At 34.8% G+C, this 20,140-nt stretch overlaps 3 annotated features.

Moving 5' to 3' along the window:
- Positions 492 to 692: a silencer, noted in NCBI's record as "peak3974 fragment used in MPRA reporter construct". NCBI's record gives its function as "represses an SCP1 promoter by STARR-seq MPRAs in K562 erythroleukemia cells {active_cell/tissue: K562}" and the evidence as "EXISTENCE:reporter gene assay evidence [ECO:0000049][PMID:32103011]".
- Positions 8,906 to 9,083: a silencer, noted in NCBI's record as "fragment chr2:187744049-187744226 (GRCh37/hg19 assembly coordinates)". NCBI's record gives its function as "represses an EF-1alpha promoter that drives an FKBP-Casp9 reporter gene in an ReSE screen in K562 erythroleukemia cells {active_cell/tissue: K562}" and the evidence as "EXISTENCE:reporter gene assay evidence [ECO:0000049][PMID:32094911]".
- Positions 18,492 to 18,692: a silencer, noted in NCBI's record as "peak3975 fragment used in MPRA reporter construct". NCBI's record gives its function as "represses an SCP1 promoter by STARR-seq MPRAs in K562 erythroleukemia cells {active_cell/tissue: K562}" and the evidence as "EXISTENCE:reporter gene assay evidence [ECO:0000049][PMID:32103011]".

Consider the following 20,140-nt stretch of genomic DNA (forward strand, 5'->3'; position numbering starts at 1 on the left):
TCATTCTTCCTTCTTTCTTCTTTCTCCTTTCTCCTCCTCCTTCTCTTTTTCCTCCTCCTCCTCCTCCTCCTCCTCCTCCTCCTCCTTCTTTCTTCTTTCTTCTTCTTTTCTGGAGACTCACCCCCTCTGAATGCTAAAGGAATCAAAGATGTGTTTGTGCAAACTTAGAAGCAGTCTGAGCCAGGTGGTCACCGTGGCTCACGCCTGTAATCCCAGCACTTTGGGAGGCTGAGGAGGGCGGATCATGAGGTCAGGAGATTGAGACCATCATGGTAACACGGAGAAACCCTGTCTCTACTAAAAATACAAAAGTTAGCCGGGCGTGGTGGCAAGAGCCTGTAATCCCAGCTACTCACGAGGCTGAGGCAGGAGAATCGCTTGAACCCGGGAGGCGGAGGTTGCAGTGAGCCGAGATCGCGCCACTGCACTCCAGCCTGGCGACAGAGCAAGACTCTGTCTCAAAAAAACAAAACAAAACAAAAAGAAGTGGTCTTAGCCAATCATGGCAATCCTATTTTCCTTAGTCAGGGAGTCCATTTCTCATAATTCTTTTCACCTAGGAATCACCATGTGTCTGTTCAGACAAAGAAGAAGCAAGGGGAAATCGGTTGGAGAACATTTAGGAAAGATGTCTCTTTCTCATATTAAAAAAAAGGAACAAATACAAACTTGTCATAGTCCAGTCCCACTGGTTTCTCCCTCCCCCTTCCAGATTCCCGTTTCTAGACAAATTACATCTGGAGCTATGGTAGCCATCTTGCAAGTCTAAAGGAGAGGCCAAGAGAACTGTAGAAAGCCCCTGAACTTTGTCATCATTAGCTCAACAACAAACCTTAAAACTGCCCACCTTCGGATTATTGATTATGTGAGATAATTGAAAGTGTTTGTTATTTTAGACATTTTATTATGTTATTTGCAGTAAATGACATTCCTTGCTGAGAAAACTGTCAGTCTAGAAACCAGTTCGGATTGCAATTGCGGCACACAATTATAGAATTTTGATTACCGTAGTTACAAAACCTGTACCACTACTTTCTACAGTAACTTCATATTGTGCTTGAAATGAGTTGGTATCTAAGGCATTTTCCTGAGGAATTCCAAAGTATCCATTCACTTGAATGATTACAGTTCCACCTCTTTGGGGTTTGCCTTGGTGTTCACTTACTGTACTTGCTCCAATATTTTCTGTACTGGTTTCAGATCTCTGAAAACTATATTATTCACTGATTAAGATATTGCAGTTAACTTCTGTAGTCAAATTTAGCATGATTTTTATATTATTATCTAGAAAAGAGGAGAGAATTAACTAGAAAATTTAAGGAGCCTAGATCACAATGTGTTAGCAATGCTATCATTAGAGTCTCACAATAGTTAATAGACAGTAACTCAAATAATGCATTTTGTTATATTAAGTTAGGCATAATATATAACCTTAAAATAAATAATAGGATATATCCTTTACTTTGTGGAACTGGGGAAACGTGTTAATACCTTTAAAACAAAATAGAAAATGAATAAAAATGATTTCTTTAGGTAGACCCACATTTTTATTTGGAGTCTATTCAATATATGCTATTATTACTTACTATTAAGTACTTGGCTCCAAGTTATTCCAACCAAGGTCCTTGTAATTTTGCAGCAACTGAACAGGAAATCCTGTGCTTAAAGAATTGTTCTGTTTGGCATTAATGTAGGGATGCGCCTAGTGGGAATAGCCTGAGAGAGTAATTGGCCCTACAGAAATATTGGAATAATATAAAACTATAAAAAAACTATAAGATATTTTTGTTAATGAAATATATTTATGCTAATAATTTAGAGGAAAGAAGATAATTTCAGGTTTAAGTCTGTTTTATATTAAACTCTTTTTCAAGGAGGGTGGGGGCCAATGTTACTGACTAAAACAAGTGCCCATATGCAGCTAGCTTATTTATCCAAAAATAAACTAGAAAGATATTTTAAATAAATTATTCTTCTATATTTAAGACATATTATGAAATATTTCTTGAAATAGTACTAAGAATAAGAAAGTAGATTATCTAAAGGATCTTTGAATTTGTCTTGAGCTTGTCTTGATTTATAACTCAGAATCAAAAAGTTCTTAGAGACGTCTATTTTTGTTGTTTCAAGTGCTCTGATTTACCCAATGATGTGCATACTTTTTTTTTCCGAGTTGGAAGAAAAGAGGTGAAGTTACAGAGAAAGTAGCTACAATTGCCCATAATCTATTCCCATATCTCATCTGTGCTACAGTCCACAGGAGAATGTCGCACTTGAGAGCCACCATCTGCTGTGGGTACATGGAGATAGAGTTTGAGAAACAACAGATCTACTTAAATTACACTATATATTTGAGAAAACCAGTGGTCAGAGAGGTGAAATAAATAACTTGCTTAATATAAAATAGCTATTCAGAGACCCAGGAAAAAAACATCTTCAAGTAGAAATAAGTACACTTTGGACCTATTCGTATATGTGCCATTAACTTGTTAGAAATGGCAGTAGAAAAGTGACTCTAACTGTGACCAATGACTTACCAAATGTATGTAATTTATAGATTTGGGACACTGTGTGCAAGAAAGGTCACATTCCCTGTGTAAATTTAGCATGGTCGCATCTTCTGTCTCAGAATCCTGACTGCAGCCAACAATTATTTTAGTCATTGGAGGAGAGTTAACTAATATTAACCAATAATTGTTTGTGCTGCATGACTCAAATAGGATGATGAGCCAATCAGGGAGAAGGATCAGGTGGCTGTAGAGTTTAGAGAGTTTAAGGTGGCAGCCACAATGAGAGAGAGTGATTCAATGTAGACACAGAAATAAGAAGAGATAGTCATATATGGAACACTTATTACATACTATAAGCATCATTCTAAGCGCTTTACGTCTCTAATGTCCCAACAGCTTTATTAGGAAGCTTCTGTTTTGATTCACATTTTTCAGATGAGGAAAATAAAACTTATTTAAACTACTAGTTTATCTAAAGTCATACAGTTAGTAAATAGTAGAACAAGATTTTGGACTTCGGTAGTCTGACTCGAGGCCCATATTCTTGGGCAGTGAGAGAAGCTGAGATGTGATGAGCAGCCAGATACTACAAACTTCAGTTTTCAGATCTGGTTTTCTTAAAGGCTGTGTTTTCTTCATTTTTTGTGTTCTATGAGATTTACCCTATACCCTCTTTTCACATTTTTACAAGAGCTAAGTTTGTTCCTTTAACAAAAACAGCCTGTGCTAAATGTTGGGAAATTAGGTGCTGAGAGTAGAAGACTGCAGAAACAAGGTATTGGAGCTATTTACAGTGTATGAAATACCAGACAGGGTAGCATTTTAACAAAGACATCTCCAACTGGAGGTAAGAGATATGGACTACAGAAAGATGGAGAGAGTGAGGATTTACAAGTAATGATTATATTGAAATCCTAGAAATTCTGAGAATTACTATGTGCCAAATTTAGACTCAGAATTTTAACACTGTTCTAGAGTCCCAAGAGCTGGGAGTGGAGTGAAATGTCAGTTTTAGAAGGTTTCTAAAAAAATCTGTACTCTTATCTGACACTTGTAAGATGGTCAAAATATGTTGAGTGTTGTACATTCCATGAAATAGATTTGTAATTTACCTGAGTAATTCCATTTGAGAAAAAATGGACAAGTTGATACAAATGTTGTCCCAATGACTATTCTTTGAATTTCTTTTTTTTTTTTTTGAGACAGTGTCTCCCTCTGTCGCCCAGGCTGGAGTGCAGTGGCACGATCTCGGCTCACTGCAAGCTCTGCCTCCTGGGTTCACACCATTCTCCTGCCTCAGCCTCCTGAGTAGCTGGGACTACAGGCACCCGCCACCATGCCCAGCTAATTTTTTGTATTTTTAGTAGAGACGGGGTTTCACCGTGTTAGCCAGGATGGTCTTGATCTCCTGACCTCGTGATCTGCCCGCCTTGGCCTCCCAAAGTGCTGGGATTACAGGTGCGAGCCACAGCACCCGGCCTATTTGAATTTCATCATTAGGTTGCAATCATATCTCAAACAAAGTGATTTGTGTGCTATGAAACTATAGTACTCTTTTTTTAACTAGCTTAACAATTAAGTACACAGTATAGCATAGTTAACTAGAAGCACATTATTGTAGAGTAGATCTCTAGAACTTTTCATATTGCATAACTGAAGCTTTATGCCCATTAAAAAGCAATTCTCCATTTCCCTCTCCTCCAAATTCCTGAAAAACATCATTCTACTTTCTGCTTTTATGAGTTTGACTACTTTACCTACCTCATAGAAGTAGAATATATTGCAATATTTGTCCTTCTGAGACTGGCTTATTTCACTTGGCATAATGTCCTCAAGGTTCATCCATGTCACTTCTGACAGATTTTCCTTTTTTAAATGGCTGAAAAATATTTCATTGTATATATATAAGCCATATTTTAATAAACATATATTTTTAACTGAGAAATAAAAATTACACATTATCACATAAAACATATTCTGAAATAGGTATATATTGTGCAATGGCTAAATTGAGCTAACTGATATATGTATTACCTCACATTCTCGTTTTTGTGGTGAGAACACTTAAAATCTAATCTCTACGAATTTTAAGAATACGACATGAGGGGACTTCAAAGAGTTTGTGAAAAATGAAATCAAACGATAAAAATTAAAGATATAAACTTTATTTCTCAATATAAGTTCTATCAAGTTTAAGACACTTTTGTAGTGATGATACCAGCCGTTTAGTCCATCCCATTAGAACTGAGAGTCCTGGGAATTTAACCATATCGATGCAGTCTTTTTTTTACATTAACTGGTGAAAAATAAGTGCATTTTAAAGATTTTTTAAGATTAGGACAAAAATAAGCCAAAGGAGCCAAATCAGCACTGTAAGGTGAATGACTAATGAGCGGAATCAGCAGGAACATTGTTATGGTAGAGAAGGACTCTCTGGTGAAGATTTCCTGGGCATTTTTTGGTTAAAGCTTAGCTAACTTTCTCAAAACCCTCTCATAATAAGCAGATGTTATCATTTTTTGGCCTTTCAGGAAGTCAACAAGCAAAATGCCTTAAGCATCTCTAAAATTGTTGCTATGACCTTTGCTCTTGACCAGTCCCCTTGTGCTTTGACTGGAACACTTCCACCTTTTGGTAGCCATTGCTTTGATTGTGCTTTGTCTTCACGATAATACTGGCAAAGCTATGTTTTGTCTCCTGATACAATTCTTCAAAGCAATGCTTCAGGAGCTTTCTTCTACTTGTTTAAAATTTCCATTGAAAGCTTTGCTCTTCTCTGCAGTTGATCTGGGTGCAATGGTTTTGGCAACCATCAAGTGGAAAGTTTGCTTAACTTTAATTTTTTAGTAAGAATTGTGTAAACTGGGCCAACTGAGATGTCTATAATGTTGGCTATTTTTTCTATTATTAATCATTGGTCTTCTTCAATTATGCCATGAACAAGATTAATTTCCTCCTTGCAAATTGATGTGAATGGTCTGCTACTGCAGGCTTCATTTTCAACATGTCTGATCTCTCCTTAGAATGAGTTATCCATTTGTAAACTGCTGATTTCTTTGGGGCAATGTCTCCATAAACTTTTCATAAAGCACCAGTGATTTCAGCATTCTTTTACCCAGGGTTCACCATAAATTTGATATTTATGTTTGCTTCAATTTTAGTAGAATTCATGTTGTTCAAATAGGGGCTCCTTTCAAACTGATGTCCTTCCTCATGCCTGAAACTAGGTCCTGTTCAGACATGCCATAACAAGTTAGTATGAGTTTATTTTGGTGCAGGAAAACTTTGAAATCTATGCATAGTTTTTGATAATACACATTTTCCATGAACTTTTAAAAGTCCCCTCCTGGCCGGGCGTGGTGGCTCATGCCTGTAATTCCAGCACTTTGGGAGGCCAAGATGGGCAGATCATGGGGTCAGGAGATCAAGACCATCCTGGCGAACACGGTGAAACCCCATCTCTACTAAAAAATATAAAAAATTAGCTGGGCGTGGTGGCTGGTGCCTGTAGTCCCAGCTACTCGGGAGGCTGAGGCAGGAGAATGGCATGAACCCAGGAGGTGGATGTTGCAGTGAGCCAAGATGGCGCCACTGCACTCCAGCCTGGGCAACAGACTAAGACTCCATCTCAAAAAAAAAAAAAAAAAAACGTCCCCTCCTATGCTATTATTAAATATAATCACCATGTGGTACACCATATAGATCTCTTGAACTTTTTTTTTCTATCTCACTAAAATTTTGTGCCTTTTGACAAACAACTACTGCCACCCTTAACCCCTGCTACCTACCATTCTGCTTTCTACTTCTGAGTTCAACTTTTCTAGATTCCACGTCTAAGTGAGATCATGCAGTATTTGTCTTTCTGTGCTTGGTTTATTTCTCTAAGCATTATTTCATTCAAGTTCATCCATGTTGTTGCAAATGACAAGATTTTCTTCTTTTTTAAAGCTGAAGAGTATCGTATTGTGTGTATATATCACATTTTCTTTGTTCATTTGTTGATGAACACTTAGATTGACTCCATATCTTGGTCATTGTGGATAATATTGCAAGAACCATGGGATTGCAGGTTATCTCTTCAACATACTGATTTCATTTCCTTTGGATATACCCTGGAGTGAAATTTATGGATCTACCATGTAGTAGTTCTACTTTTAATTTTTTGAGAAATTTCTATTCTGTTCTTTATAATGTCTATACTAATTTACATTGCAACCAACAGTGTGCAAGTATTCCCTTTTCTTTCCAACCTTGCCAAAGACTTGTTATCTTTTTTGTTTTTTTTGTTTTAGTGATAGCCATTCTAACAGATGTGAGATGATTTATCACTATGGTTTTAATTTGCATTTCTCTGATTACTAGTGATTTTGAGCATTTAAAAATATACCTGTGGGCCATTTGTATGTCTTCTTGTTGAGAAATATTTATTTAGGTCCTTTGTCTATTTTTAATTGGGTTATTTTTAAATTGGATTATTTGTTTTCTTACTACTGAGTCTACTATTTGTTTTCTTACTACTATTTGTTTTCTTACTACTGAGTCCGAGTTATTTATATGTTTTGGATATTGACCCCTTATCAGATGTATGGTTTGCAAATATTTTCTACCATTCTGTAGGTTGTCTTCAATCTGTTGATTTTTCTCTTGGCTATGCAGAAGTTTTTAGTTAATCTCATTTGTCTATTTTTGCTTTTGTTGTCTGTTCTTTTGGGTTTATATTTAAAAAATCCTTGCCAAGACCAATTTCATGCAGGTTTTCTCTTGTTTTCTTTTAGCAACTTTTACAGTTTCAAGTGTTACCCTTAAGTTTTAATCCATGTTAAGTCGATTTTTGTATCTAGTGTGAGATAAGGATCTAATTTCATTCTTTTGCATGTGGATAATCAGTTGTCCCAAAACCATTTATTGAAGAAACATTCCTTTCCTCATTGTATCTTGGGACCTTTGTCAAAAATCAATGACCATAAACATGTGGATTTATTTCTGGGATCTCTATTCTGTTCTCTTGGTCAGTTTTCATGTCAGTATCAGGCTGTTTTGATTACTGTAGCTTCATAGTGTATTTTGAAGTCAGGCAGTGTGTTGCCTCCAACTTTGTTCTTTTTGCTCAAGATTGCTTTGGCCGTTCAGGGTCTTTTGTGCTTCAATAAAATTTTAAGTTTTATTTCAATTTCTGTGAAAATGTTATTGTTATTTTGGTAGGGATTGCATTTAATCTGTAGATCGTATTAAGTAGTGTGGACATTTTAACAATATTAATTCTTCCAACCTATGAACACAGGATATCTTTTAGTTTATTTGTATCTTCTTCAATCTCTTAGATCAATATTTTAGTTTTCAATGTACAGGCCTTTTGCCTTCTTGGTTAAATTTATTCCTAGGTATTTTATCATATTATATTTTTAGCTATTATAGATGGGATTGTTTTCTTGATTTCTTTTTTGGATAGTTCATTGTTAGTGTATAGAAATCCTTCTGATTTTTGTATGTTCATTTTGTGTCCTGCAACCTTACTGAATTTGCTTATTAGTCATAATGTTTTTTTTGTGTGTGTGTGTGTGGAGTCTTCAGAGTTTTTTGTATATAAGATCATGTTATCCAGAAACAGGGACAACTTAACTTTTTACTTTTCAATGTGGATCCCTTTTATTTCTTTCTCTTGCCTAATTGTTCTGGCTAGGACTTCTAGTACCATGTTGAATAGAAGTGGTAGGTATGGGCATCCTTGTCTTGTTCCTGATCTTAGAAGGAAAGCTTCTGTTAGCTGTGGGTTTATCATAGATAGCTTTTATTGTGTTGAGATATGTTCCTTCTGCACCTAATTTGTTGAGAGTTTTTATTATAAAAGAATGTTATATTTTGTCAAATGTTTTTTCTACATCTATTGAGATGATCATGTGATTTTTGTTCTTCATTCTTTAATGTGTGGTGTATCACATTTATAGATTTGCATATGTAGAACTGTCCTTGCATTCCTGGGGTAAATCCCATTTTATTATAGTGAACAATCCTTTTAAAATGCTGTTAAATTCAATTTTCTAGTATTTTGTTGAGGGTTTTTGCATCTATGTTCATTACAGTATTGGCCTATAATTTTTATTTCTTCTAGTGTCCTTGTCTAGCTTTAGTATCAAAGTAATCCTGGCCTCATAAAAGGAGGTAGAAAGTGTTCCCTCTTCTTCAGTTATTTGAAAGAGCTTGAGAAGGATTGATATTAGTTCTTTTTTTTCTTTTTTGAGATGGAGTTTCACCCTTGTCGCCCAGGCTGGAGTGCAATGGTGTGATCTTGGCTCACTGCAACCTCTGCCTCCCAGGTTCAAGTAATTTTCCTGCCCTGAGTAGCTGGGATTACAGGCTGGTGCCACCACGCCTGGCTAATTTTTGTATTTTTAGTAGAGATGGGGTTTCACTATGTTGGCCAGGCTGGCCTCGAACTCCTGACCTCAGGTGATCCACCTACCTTGGCCTCCTGAAGTCCTAGGATTACAGGCATGAGCCACCGTGCCTGGTGATATTAGTTCTTTACATATTTGGTAGAATAGAGCTGTGTAGTCATCAGTTCCTTGGCTTTTCTTAGATGGCAATCTTTGTGTTACTGATTCACTGTCCTTACTTGTTATAGGTCTACTTCAGATTTTTCTTTTTCTTCATGAGTCATCCTTTGTAGGTTATGTGTGCCTAGGAATTTATCCACTTTTTTTTCTAGGCTATTTAATTTGTTGGTATATAATTATTTATTAAGAATAGTCTCTTGTGATACTTAGTATTTCTGTGGTATCAGTTATTCTTCTTTCATTTCTGATTTAGTTTGATTATTCTATCTTATTTCTTAGTCTAGCTAAAGATTTGTCAATTTTGCTCACTTTTTTGAAAAACCAACTTTGTTAATTTTTTTCTAGTTTCTATTTCATTTCTATTTCCATATATTTGTCAATTTTCCAGTTTTTCTACTGCTATAGATATATAGTTTCATTCTATTGTGGTTGGAAAAATACCTTCATATGATTTCAATCTTCTTAAATTTGTTAAGACTTGTTTTGTGACCTAACATATGATCTATCATGGAGAATGTCCCATGTGAACTTGTCAAATATGTGTATTCTGGTGCTGTTGGGTGGAATATGTGTATATATATATATATGTGTGTGTGTGTGTGTGTGTGTGTGTGTATGTATATATATGTGTGTGTACATATATAAATTTAGTGTATTCGCTTGAGGATTTTTACATCTATGTCGAAAGTAGTATATTGAAGTCTGCTATTATTATTTTGTTGCCTATTTTGCCCTTCAATTCTGTCAATGATTGCTTCACATATTTAAGTGCTGTGATGTTGAGTGCAGATAGATGATAGATAGATAGATAGATAGATAGATAGATAGATAGATAGATAGATAGATAGTTATATCTTCCTGTTACAATAGTAACAAGTTGAACCTGTTCTTAACTTGTTATTATTATATCCTTCTTTGTCTCTTTGTGACACTTTATTAAAGTCAATTTTAATAAAGACATTTTATTAAAGTCAATTAATTAAAGTCAATTTTGTCTAAGTATGGCTATTCTTGCTCTTTTGGTTACCATTTGCCTGAAATATCTTTCTCCATCCTTTTATTTTCAGCCTATGTGTGTCATTAAATCTAAGGTGAGTCTCTTATAGTCAGCATATAGTTGGATCTTGTCTTTTTTTTAACCACTATGTCTACTCTAGATTTTTTTATTGTTGAGTTTAATCCGTGGACACTTAAAGTAATTATTGATAGGGAAAAATTTACTACCTCAGTTTTGTTAATTGCTTTCTATCTCATAGTTCTTTTGCCCCTCTTTTCCTCTCTTGTTGTCTTCCTTTGTGTTTCATTGATTTTTTTTTTTTTTGTAGGGACATGCTTTGATTCCTCTCTCATTTGTGTATCTTATATTGGCATTTTCTGTGTGGTTACCATGATGCTTACATAAAACATCTTATAGTTATAACAATCCATTTTAAGCTGATAACTTCAGTTCAATTGCATACAAAAACTACATTTTTGCCCCCTCTTCATGTTATTAATGTCACAAATTACATCTTTTAATATTGTGTATCTATTAACATTTTAATATAGTTGTAGTTATTTTCATACTTTCGTCTCTTAACTCTATACCAAAATTAAAAGTGATTTTTGCACTACAATTACGTTATTATTGTATTTTGTATTTGTCTATATATTTACCTTTATCAACAAGCTTTACAGTTTATATAATTGTATAGAAGTTGCTGTTGCTGTTTTATCTCTTTTATTTCAACTTGAAGGACTCTTTAGCATTTCTGGTAAAGCAGGTCTTACAGTGGTGAACTGTCTCAGCTTTTGCTTATCTGAGAAACTTTGTATTTTTCCTTTATTTTTGAGAAAGAGTTTCACCTAATCTAGTACTCTTTGTTGGCAGTTTTTTCATTTTAGCACTTTGAATATGCCATCAATACCATTACACTCTCTTCTCATCTGTAAGATTTCTGTAGAGAAGTATGCTGATAGTCTAATGGGAGTTGTCTTGTAAATCACAAGTTGCTACTCTCTTGCTGCTTTCAAAAGTCTTTCTTTGTCTGAATTTTGACAATTTGATTATAATGTGGCATGGCGTGGATTTCTTTGGATCTTCCTAATTTGGTTAGATTGGGTGTCTTAAATCTAGGTGTTTATTTTCTTCCCCAGATTTGGAAAGTTTTCATCAATTAAAAAAATAAATTTTATGTTTCTCTTCCTCTCTCTTCTTCTGCAATTTCCATAGTGCATATATTGGTCCACTTGATGGTGTTCTATAAGAAGCTTAGGTCGTCTTCACTTCTTTTCTTCTTTTCCTTTTTGTTCCTCTGACTGGGTAATTTAAAATGACTCAAGTTTAGTTATTCTCTTTTCTTCTTGGTCAAGTGTGCTGTTGAAACTCTTTAGTAAATTTTTTAGTTCACTCACTGCATTCTTCCTCTCCAAAATTTCTGTTAAGTTCTTTTTTATATTTTCTGTTTCTTTATTGAAATTATCTTTTTGTTCATGTATCATTTTTGCTCAGCTCATTGAGCATATTTATGGTTATTTCAAATTATTTGTTGGGAAATTTACATACCTTCATTTCTTTATGGTTGGTTTTTGGAATTTTTTTTTTTGTATCTTTGATTGGATTATTTTCCTCTTTTCCTTCATGTTCCTTGTAACTTTGTGTTGGTACCTATGCATTTGAAAAGACAGTCACCTCTCCTAGTCTTTACAGATTGACTTTATAAAAGGAAAAGACATTCACTAATCAGCTTAGCTAGAGATTTTGAGAATTTCTGAAACATTTTCTATGGATGTATCTTCTCTGAGCATGTTGCTCAGCTTGTTCTTGTTCTCAGTGGCCCGCAGGCATCTAGAAGATATTGGGTCTTATCAGCACCCCAAGTTTTACTAAACAGAAACCAGTGCCTCAGGCATCCCCTCCAAAAGCTGGATCTTTGGATGCATATTCCACTCTTCTCTTTTCCCCCTGAGGGAGAGTCCACTGAGCTATATTGTCTTCTCTCTGCTGTACCATGGGCCCTCTAGAGCAGGAGCACATTGCTCAGCTTGTTTTTCTTTTCATTGGTCCCTAGCCATCTAGATTATGCTGAGTGCTGTCCATGTTTTGAGATAAAAGAGACAGAAATCAGTCCCTTGGACAGCTCCCCCAAAAGCCAAAACACCTGTCCTGTTCTTTTCTTTGCAACCTGAGCAATAGACCATAAAGTCATTATCAGCGTCTGCCTGCTGTACTGTGGTCCCTCTGAAGCAACAGCATGCTATTCAGCTCTATTGTTCGTAGTGGCCCCCAGGCAGCCAGAGTATTCTGGGTCCCATCAGCATTCCAAGAAAGATCAGACAGAAGCTGATCCCCTTGGCAGCTTCCACTAAAGTCAGAACATTGGGCATGTATTTCCATCTTCTCTTTTACTCCCTAGGGAGAAGCCAGGAGCTGAGTGTTTCTTCCTGATCATGTGGCATTGTGCCAGGGAAAAGTACTGTGGCAAAAGAGAATAGGATGCTATGAATTTTTCTACTAGCTTTGATACAATTGGTTTCCTGTTTCCTTGGGGATAAAAAGAGTCTTTTAACTGGTTTCTAGATTTCTCATAAAGGGAATGAGGGTAGGTATTATTGAATCGATATCTCCATGAGAGGGAGGAGGGTCTGGGGCCTTTTATTCTGACATCTTGCTGATGTTACCTATAACATTTTTTTTGTGGTTGAGTTTTTAAAATATTTTGTGTAGAAATTAACATTAGTGTTTATTCATTGTAAATAATTATATATACATTGATAAATTCGGTACTAATTTTACTTCTAATCATTCTCAAAAGTTAATGTTTATATAAAGCTGCTAGTTTTGACTATTCATGGACTTGATGAATTAGAAAATAGAAAATATTGGTAAAAAATTTATACATTTAAGGTATTATTATTAATAATGTATTTAATTCTCCAGTCTTAGATTTTACTGGGGAACTCCTGTAAATTTTATCAGCACTTGAATCTGAAACTCACATCCCTGTTCAGTTACCCATTGGCCTATCACATGTAGTAATGGAATGACGTATGCCTAAGGGATACATTTGACCAACATACAGTTCTTTCTATGACCATGATTTTTAGCCCAAATTCCAATATAGTTTTCTTAGTGAGCAGAACTAGAATTCAAAGCAGTCTCAGAAGCACCTCTTATCCTTTATCCCAAGGTGCAAAATAGAATTGGCCTAAATTTCCCACTCTGTATTTCTTTTCTACTGGAGTTTTCTCTGGTTTCACCTGGCCCCAATCCAAGCAGAAGGAACCTCTAGGACCTATCTTATCCCATTAGCTTCAAGACACAAAACACCCACAAGAAGTAGAGACACAATTTACTTACTTACCACAAACTCAATGCAATGCTGATAGGATGACTAATTGTATGTCATTTAGTTCGTCCCAGACTAGAGGTTGCAAAATGGTGGCTCATGAGCCAAGTTCAGCTAATAGATCTGTTTGTTTGTCTAGCCCAGTGTTTGTAAAAAGTAATTTTGAATATGTTGTCACAATTTTAAAATTGGGTTGTTTTATATAGAAATCTGGATTCTAGATTTCTCCTGAAAAATTAAAGATCCGAAAGAGTGGACTCAAATTCCTTAAGGTAATAATAAGTTGAAATTGAATAGAGCTGCCTTCTTTACTTGGGGAATACTTTCTTCATTTTGTCCAATTGCCCCGTCAACTATATTCATTTACATTATCTTTCTAGTGTGGGTGGCCTTTTGGTTTTGTGACCCTGACGTAACACAACAGCATAGTTCTTTCTCTTGGGATAGTTTGAATAGAAGGATGTACATTTAAGGGTGGGGATGGGGAGAGGGCAAGGAGATTTGAATGGGTGACTATCAATATTCTGCCTAATGGAATCTCCTAAGAGACTGAATTAATTCAGTTGGGAATAAATCTATTGTAACTTAAATGTAGATAATCCATATATTTGTATTTGATTAAAAAATGTATAGAAGTTTACATTAGTCCTTGACCTTTTTAACACAATGGAGTTGAGAATCAATTTCTAATAATTATTGTGAGTAAATTCTTTTGGTAAAGGGCATTGCAAGGGAGTAATTTACTGCCTGTTATGGTTTTCTTGTTAGTTTCTTCAGTTTACCTTAGTATGTTTTCATTGTCTGGAAGGACTGAAATTTGCAGAAGTGATTTTCTAGTGCCATAGTAAAAAAGATTAGCAGTGACAGTTTTCTAAAATATATGTTTCCTACCAGAAGCAGCCTTCTCAGCCCATTTCCTTTAATGATATCTGGTGAGGATCTGATAAGCTTTATTCTACTTGACAGAGGTCAAAGGGCATTGTCTTCCTCTTCAATCCAGCAGCCAACAACAAAACCAGTCATATGTTATCACCATCACACAGGAAGCTGCAGGCTTGCTTGTGTTAAACAGAGCACAAATACAGGAAAAGTGTCAGCCGGGTTAAAAGCTGGTAGAGCTGTGCTAGGAGAACATTATGCTAATAACATTACAGACAGAACTGAAGATATATGATTAAATTTCAGCATAGAGTAATTAGAAATCCTTAAACATTGAAAAAATATAAAAAGTGGCTGTGGCCATATTATTTTCCTTTATTTGAAATGATGACTCCATTTTTAAAAATAGGAAAATAGCAGTTAAATAAAAAGTTATGTCTGGAAATAGCACAATTTCGCAAAACATGCAATTAAAAAGTTGTTAATAATTTTAAGATTGTTTCCCTCTGTTTTGTATGATAAAAATTCCTAATTATATTATCTTATTTCAAAAGAAAAGACAATCTATTTTGTGTTAATGTTTTGTCATAAATACAAATTTGTGCCTTTTAAAAACTAAAGAACTCATTTCACTGAGGAAGGGGTGTGTGCCTGGTTTTAAGGTGTTACCTGGGTCAAGGTGGGTATATTCTAGAGATATATACCAATAGAGTTTTATGTTCCATATTGGACTTCTTAAAAAAAAGATCTGAAAAGTTTTGCATAATGTTTTCTAAATTCTTTCCATTAAAAATATTAAAAACTATGAATTACAAAAACCTCTAAAGAGAAAATAAACAAAAATAATACTATATACAACTCTGCATTAACACAGTGACTGTGAACATTTTAATTCATTTCTATCTATATTTTTCAATATATTTTCAAGAGTTCAGTCCATTGCATGTGTGTGTATAGGCACATGTATACACACACACATATATACTCAAGCACAAACATGTAGATACACAAATACATTTATAACTTTGAATGTCACCTTCTTTTAACAAATTAACATTATATCAAACATTTTCATGTTTTTTGTATTTGTCATAGTCTTCATTTTTAATAGCTGTATCTGGTTTCATTGATTGAACATGCTATAATTTATTTATTCAGTGAGCAATTGTAGGGGATGTACAAATATTTTTCTTTATTGGGACACTTAACATTTCCTGAGTACCTTAGGGATAGTGCCTCTCTATATGTTGTATCTTCTAATGGCCATGATCAGGAAGGGCCTTGTCATGTGAATAAACTATTGGACATAGTGGACCTGTTGTAATGCACGTGCCCTTAGTATAAAGTAATTAAATAGTAAAATGTAAAGTTGCTGCTTCTAGGGAATAGTTAATGGTGTTGCATAGAAAGTATTGTTTTCTGTACAAACACATAACTCAGTTCCAGTTTGGATTCAAGAGTGTAGTCTGTTGAAGAGACTTAAAATAGATATTGTCCAGTTAGAACAGAATTTTGTAGGTTCCCTGCCAAAGTAAAGACAGAGAAAACTCATGTTTGAGGTAATACCAGGGTTAATAAGTAAAAATAGTACAAAAACTCTGTCTTAATGAGTGCTTTCTTGTTTGGGTATGTTACATACCCTACTTGGGATATATGTGATATATGTATGCCCATTTGTATTGGAAACACTATGCTGGTTTTGCACTTTTGCTTTTAGGACCCAAGAAAAATTCTAATAGTCATACATTGATTATTTTCTCTGAATGTCAGTCATAAAGAACCAAACACAAAAGTCCTAATGCACAGCACACCTTTATCAGAGAGTGCTTGTCATCATCCCCAGGAATATTACTGTGTCTTTTCAGACAATAAAGAAAGAAAATATTATTGCTTTACTGTCTCTCTCTCCCCCTTCACCTCTCCCTCCCTCCCTTCCTTCCTTCCTTTTGTTTTTTTTCTTCTTCCTATTTTAGGTTTCTTTTCTCCCTTGCCCCACCTACATGTCTTTCTTGGTTTAAAGGAGAGGACTCAAAAACCAGACTTTTTTAAAAAACAGATACATTTTAGCTATTGAGTATCTTATGCCACAGAGGATAATATGAAATAAAGGATTATTTTGATCTTCATAGGAATAATGATGTTTTAAATAATTCTATTATGACTCTAAATTTCTGTTGACATTATCAGTTTTTTAACATTGGAAAATTCTATTTTTTCTAATTGTAGCATTGGGTAAATATATTTAATGTTTTTTCACAGAGAATTTTTCTTAAAAAACCATAATATAAAGAAAAGAGAAGCCTACTGCCCCAAAATAAACTCTGCCTATTTTTATTTAGGAAAATCATACACTGAAATATCAAAAGGAAGACAGAATATGATTTAGCTAGTTAGTTTTGTGTTGGGCTGATGCTGGACATGACAACAAAGAGTCTTTCTCTGCTGCATCCAGATGTTACGAGGCGATTAAACTTGGGTTTAACTGACCCAGGAGAATCAACTGGCTGCTAGAGCAGCCCTGCTTCTGGCTTTGTGGAGATCAAGGAAAGCCCTTTCAGCGTGTCTGAGAGCCAGATCCAGGGTGTCTCAGGCAAGCTGGGGAGCACGTTGGCAAAATCTCTGGGATTGTGCAATCTCTCTGTTTTTTTTTCCTGACTTTTTCCTCTCAAGAACATATGCCTAAATTGGGCCATGCAGCTGTGTGAGGGTGGAGTGCTTACACTTAGAGCTCTTAGGTCTGAGGGTGCGGGGTCAATGGTACATTAGTTCCTCCTCTCAGCATCACCCTGAGAAACTTTAGAAGTAATCCCTTGAGGTTTGTTCGTAACCTGATTTTTCACCCTAAATGTTAACATAGGGCTTGCCTTTTCTTGATATTACACATATGTAGCTAGCAGCTCTCAGACAGTTTGAAAAATGTTTCACTTGCTTTCAGAAGTCTAATGACAAATGACAGTGACAAATGACAAATGGTTTATTTCAAAGAAGAAACTTAAGTTTAGTTGTCAGTTTAAAGAAGTCTACATTTCTGTAATATTATTTTAAAGTTTTACAGATACTTTATTAATCAGAGTATCGATTATAGAAAATGCAAAAAGCTCATATAATTCTGTTTAAAAACACATTTTGAAATAGTCCCAACTATACTCACCCCTGGGTGTCTTTGAATTATAGAACAGATGTTTCAACATCCTTAAGGAAGAACTTGATTCTTAGGGCAAAGTTAATGTTGCAAGAGCAAGGAACAATTTGTTAGAGTACTTATCATGGTCCTCAGGAACATTATTCTGTGCCCTCTTGGACCCAAAGACATTACATTTTGTTATTACTGAGTCTGCTTGATTCCTCCTCCTCTTATTTTTCCTCCTCCTTTTCCTTATCTTCTTCTCCACCTCCTCCTCTTCATCTTCTTTCTTCTTCCCACCCTTCACTACCCCCATCCTCCCTTAAAGAAAATACTTGATAATTAAATTTAAAAACTTTATATACAATGATGCTGTTGATTTCCAAAGTATCTTACTAGGAATAGAATACTACAATAAGAATAATAAAAATGTAACAGATTATTGATGATATAGTATTTATGAAACTATTGTAGTCAATATAATTTAATCTAATAGAATTCTATTTTTATAACTATAAAAACCAAACTTTAGATATTCTTCTTTCAATTCATGTTCCACTAACATATTTTTGTCACTGATGAATGGAAAAAATAATTGCTACAGTTGTGTTTTCAGAATGGTGCATAGACATTTATTTCATTAGTGATAATGTCTTCTCATTAGAAACTCAGGGTTTTGTATGTAATCTAAGGTAACTTTTCATTTTCTATGAACCGGCTCAAGTCAAACTACAAGGGAAGACTATAAAATGGAAGATTAATCCAAACAAATTTACCTCTCGACTTTTTAAGAACATAATGAATACTTGTGTGTGTGTGTGTGTGTGTAACACAATTAACGAAGCACATTTACCTTTATTTGTTCATTAAGTCTTTAGCAAGCATTCTTTAAACAAATATTTATTGACCACTTTAAATTCACTTTGAGGCACAGAGATGCTTCAAAGAGCTGACAGTATTTTGAAAAAGTTCTCTCTTTTAATCTTCACAACTCTTTGAGATATATAAAGCCCCTCTGTAACCACGACTAATATTAGAGTTCCAAGTGAATGAAAATTAGTGGAATAACAGCTGAAGTTGTGCTTTTACGTTTCCCTTAAATTGATCATATTCTTCATATTCTAAAAGCAGTTACAAAGTAGTTAAGGTAGTTGCTATTATTATTATTACTGAAAAGAAAAAGATAAGAGAAGACAAGGGAAGTAGTAATCTAGCATTCAATGAGTATCTTAGAGGCTAGGTACTTTACAGATGTTTCATTCAATTTTTCCCACAGCTCTGAGAGTTATATACAATTTACATTTTACAGATGAGAAATTGAAGCTGATTGTGGTTAAGTAACTTATCTAAGTCACAGAGTTGGAACCAGAGAATGAATCTCACATTTTCTGATTATAAATCCTTTTTTTGTGACACACATTTTTCTTTTGGGATCTCTTCATATACGAATACAAACATGAAAGAAAGGGAAGTGATAGAGAACGGAAGCTAAGTAAAAGTTAACCGTGAATTAAGGTTTCCTCAAGTTTAATCACACGGAGACATTCTGTACTGCTGTCTTAAAAACAAGCTACTAAGGGCATACATTAGTAAAAGAGTCTTGAATTTCGCCATTTATTGTCGACCAGGAGCCTCTGGCAGAACAGTTCTTAATTTCACAATTCCATGATGAAATAATCTGGTGCTATGCAACCTTTGGTACGTCTCTAAATCCCAGGGGATGGGAATGTTGAATAAAATTCATATTCAGAAAATGAAAAAAGGCTTGTATATATTTTCATGACAAGGTAATAAAATGATGTAGTGACTATGACTAACAAAATTTATCTCAATTATTGTAGCAGATTGAATACACATTTGGTATGACTAGACTGATCCCAAATGAATATTCTTAGACACTCCTAAGTATTGATGAAAGTGAGTATGTGTGAGAGAATGATTCAGTCCCTAGATAATTATAGAGAAATGAAGTTATTAGAATGATTTTGGTAGTAAGTAAAAGAAAATGATACTTAAGTGAAATAGTTTAAAGCTATTTTTAGTATAGAAAAAATGCTAAATAAATAAATATTGAGCATAACAAATCTGGCTCTTTTATCTGTTAGATGAACCCTCCTTTAAACCAAGTATGTGTGATCAACAAATTTTTCATATTTAGTAATAATAACCATCTATTATTGAGAACCCACTCTGTGCCAGTCACTATTGTTTTGACTTTTATTTAATATTCATAATATTCCTAGTAGAAATTACTATTCACATTTCACAAATTAGGAAATTGAGGATCATACAGAAACCATAAAGCCAATTAGGAATGAATTAATATTGAACTCAGATTTATCTGATACCAAAGCCTGAGGTTTTTCCTTTTACACTGTGCATTAGGGGAATTTTCAGCTGATCTATTCTGTGCCAATCCTACCTCTCCATGCTCCTTTGACTACCCAGCACCCTTGACCACTCATTACTCCCTCACCCTGTTTGGCCACAACTAAGTGGGCAGGGTCCCTGTACCTTGAAAGGTATGAGCCTAAACTCTGCTCTCTCTTTCCTCTTTCACTTCATAAACTCACACAGTAATTTCACCCAGGCCAATTCCTTCTTTTCTCAACTTTATCCATACAGAGGTATGATTCAGAAAGTGGCAAGATCTCAAGGTTTTTACTCAAGTTTGTTTGTATGAGTGGAGGATGTGAAGGATGAAGATCATGGTAAGCAAAGGTGGGTGCCTACATGGCTTCTCCT

The sequence above is a fragment of the Homo sapiens genome, chromosome 2 (genome assembly GCF_000001405.40).
Source record: "Homo sapiens chromosome 2, GRCh38.p14 Primary Assembly".
Classification (NCBI taxonomy): Eukaryota; Metazoa; Chordata; class Mammalia; order Primates; family Hominidae; genus Homo; species Homo sapiens.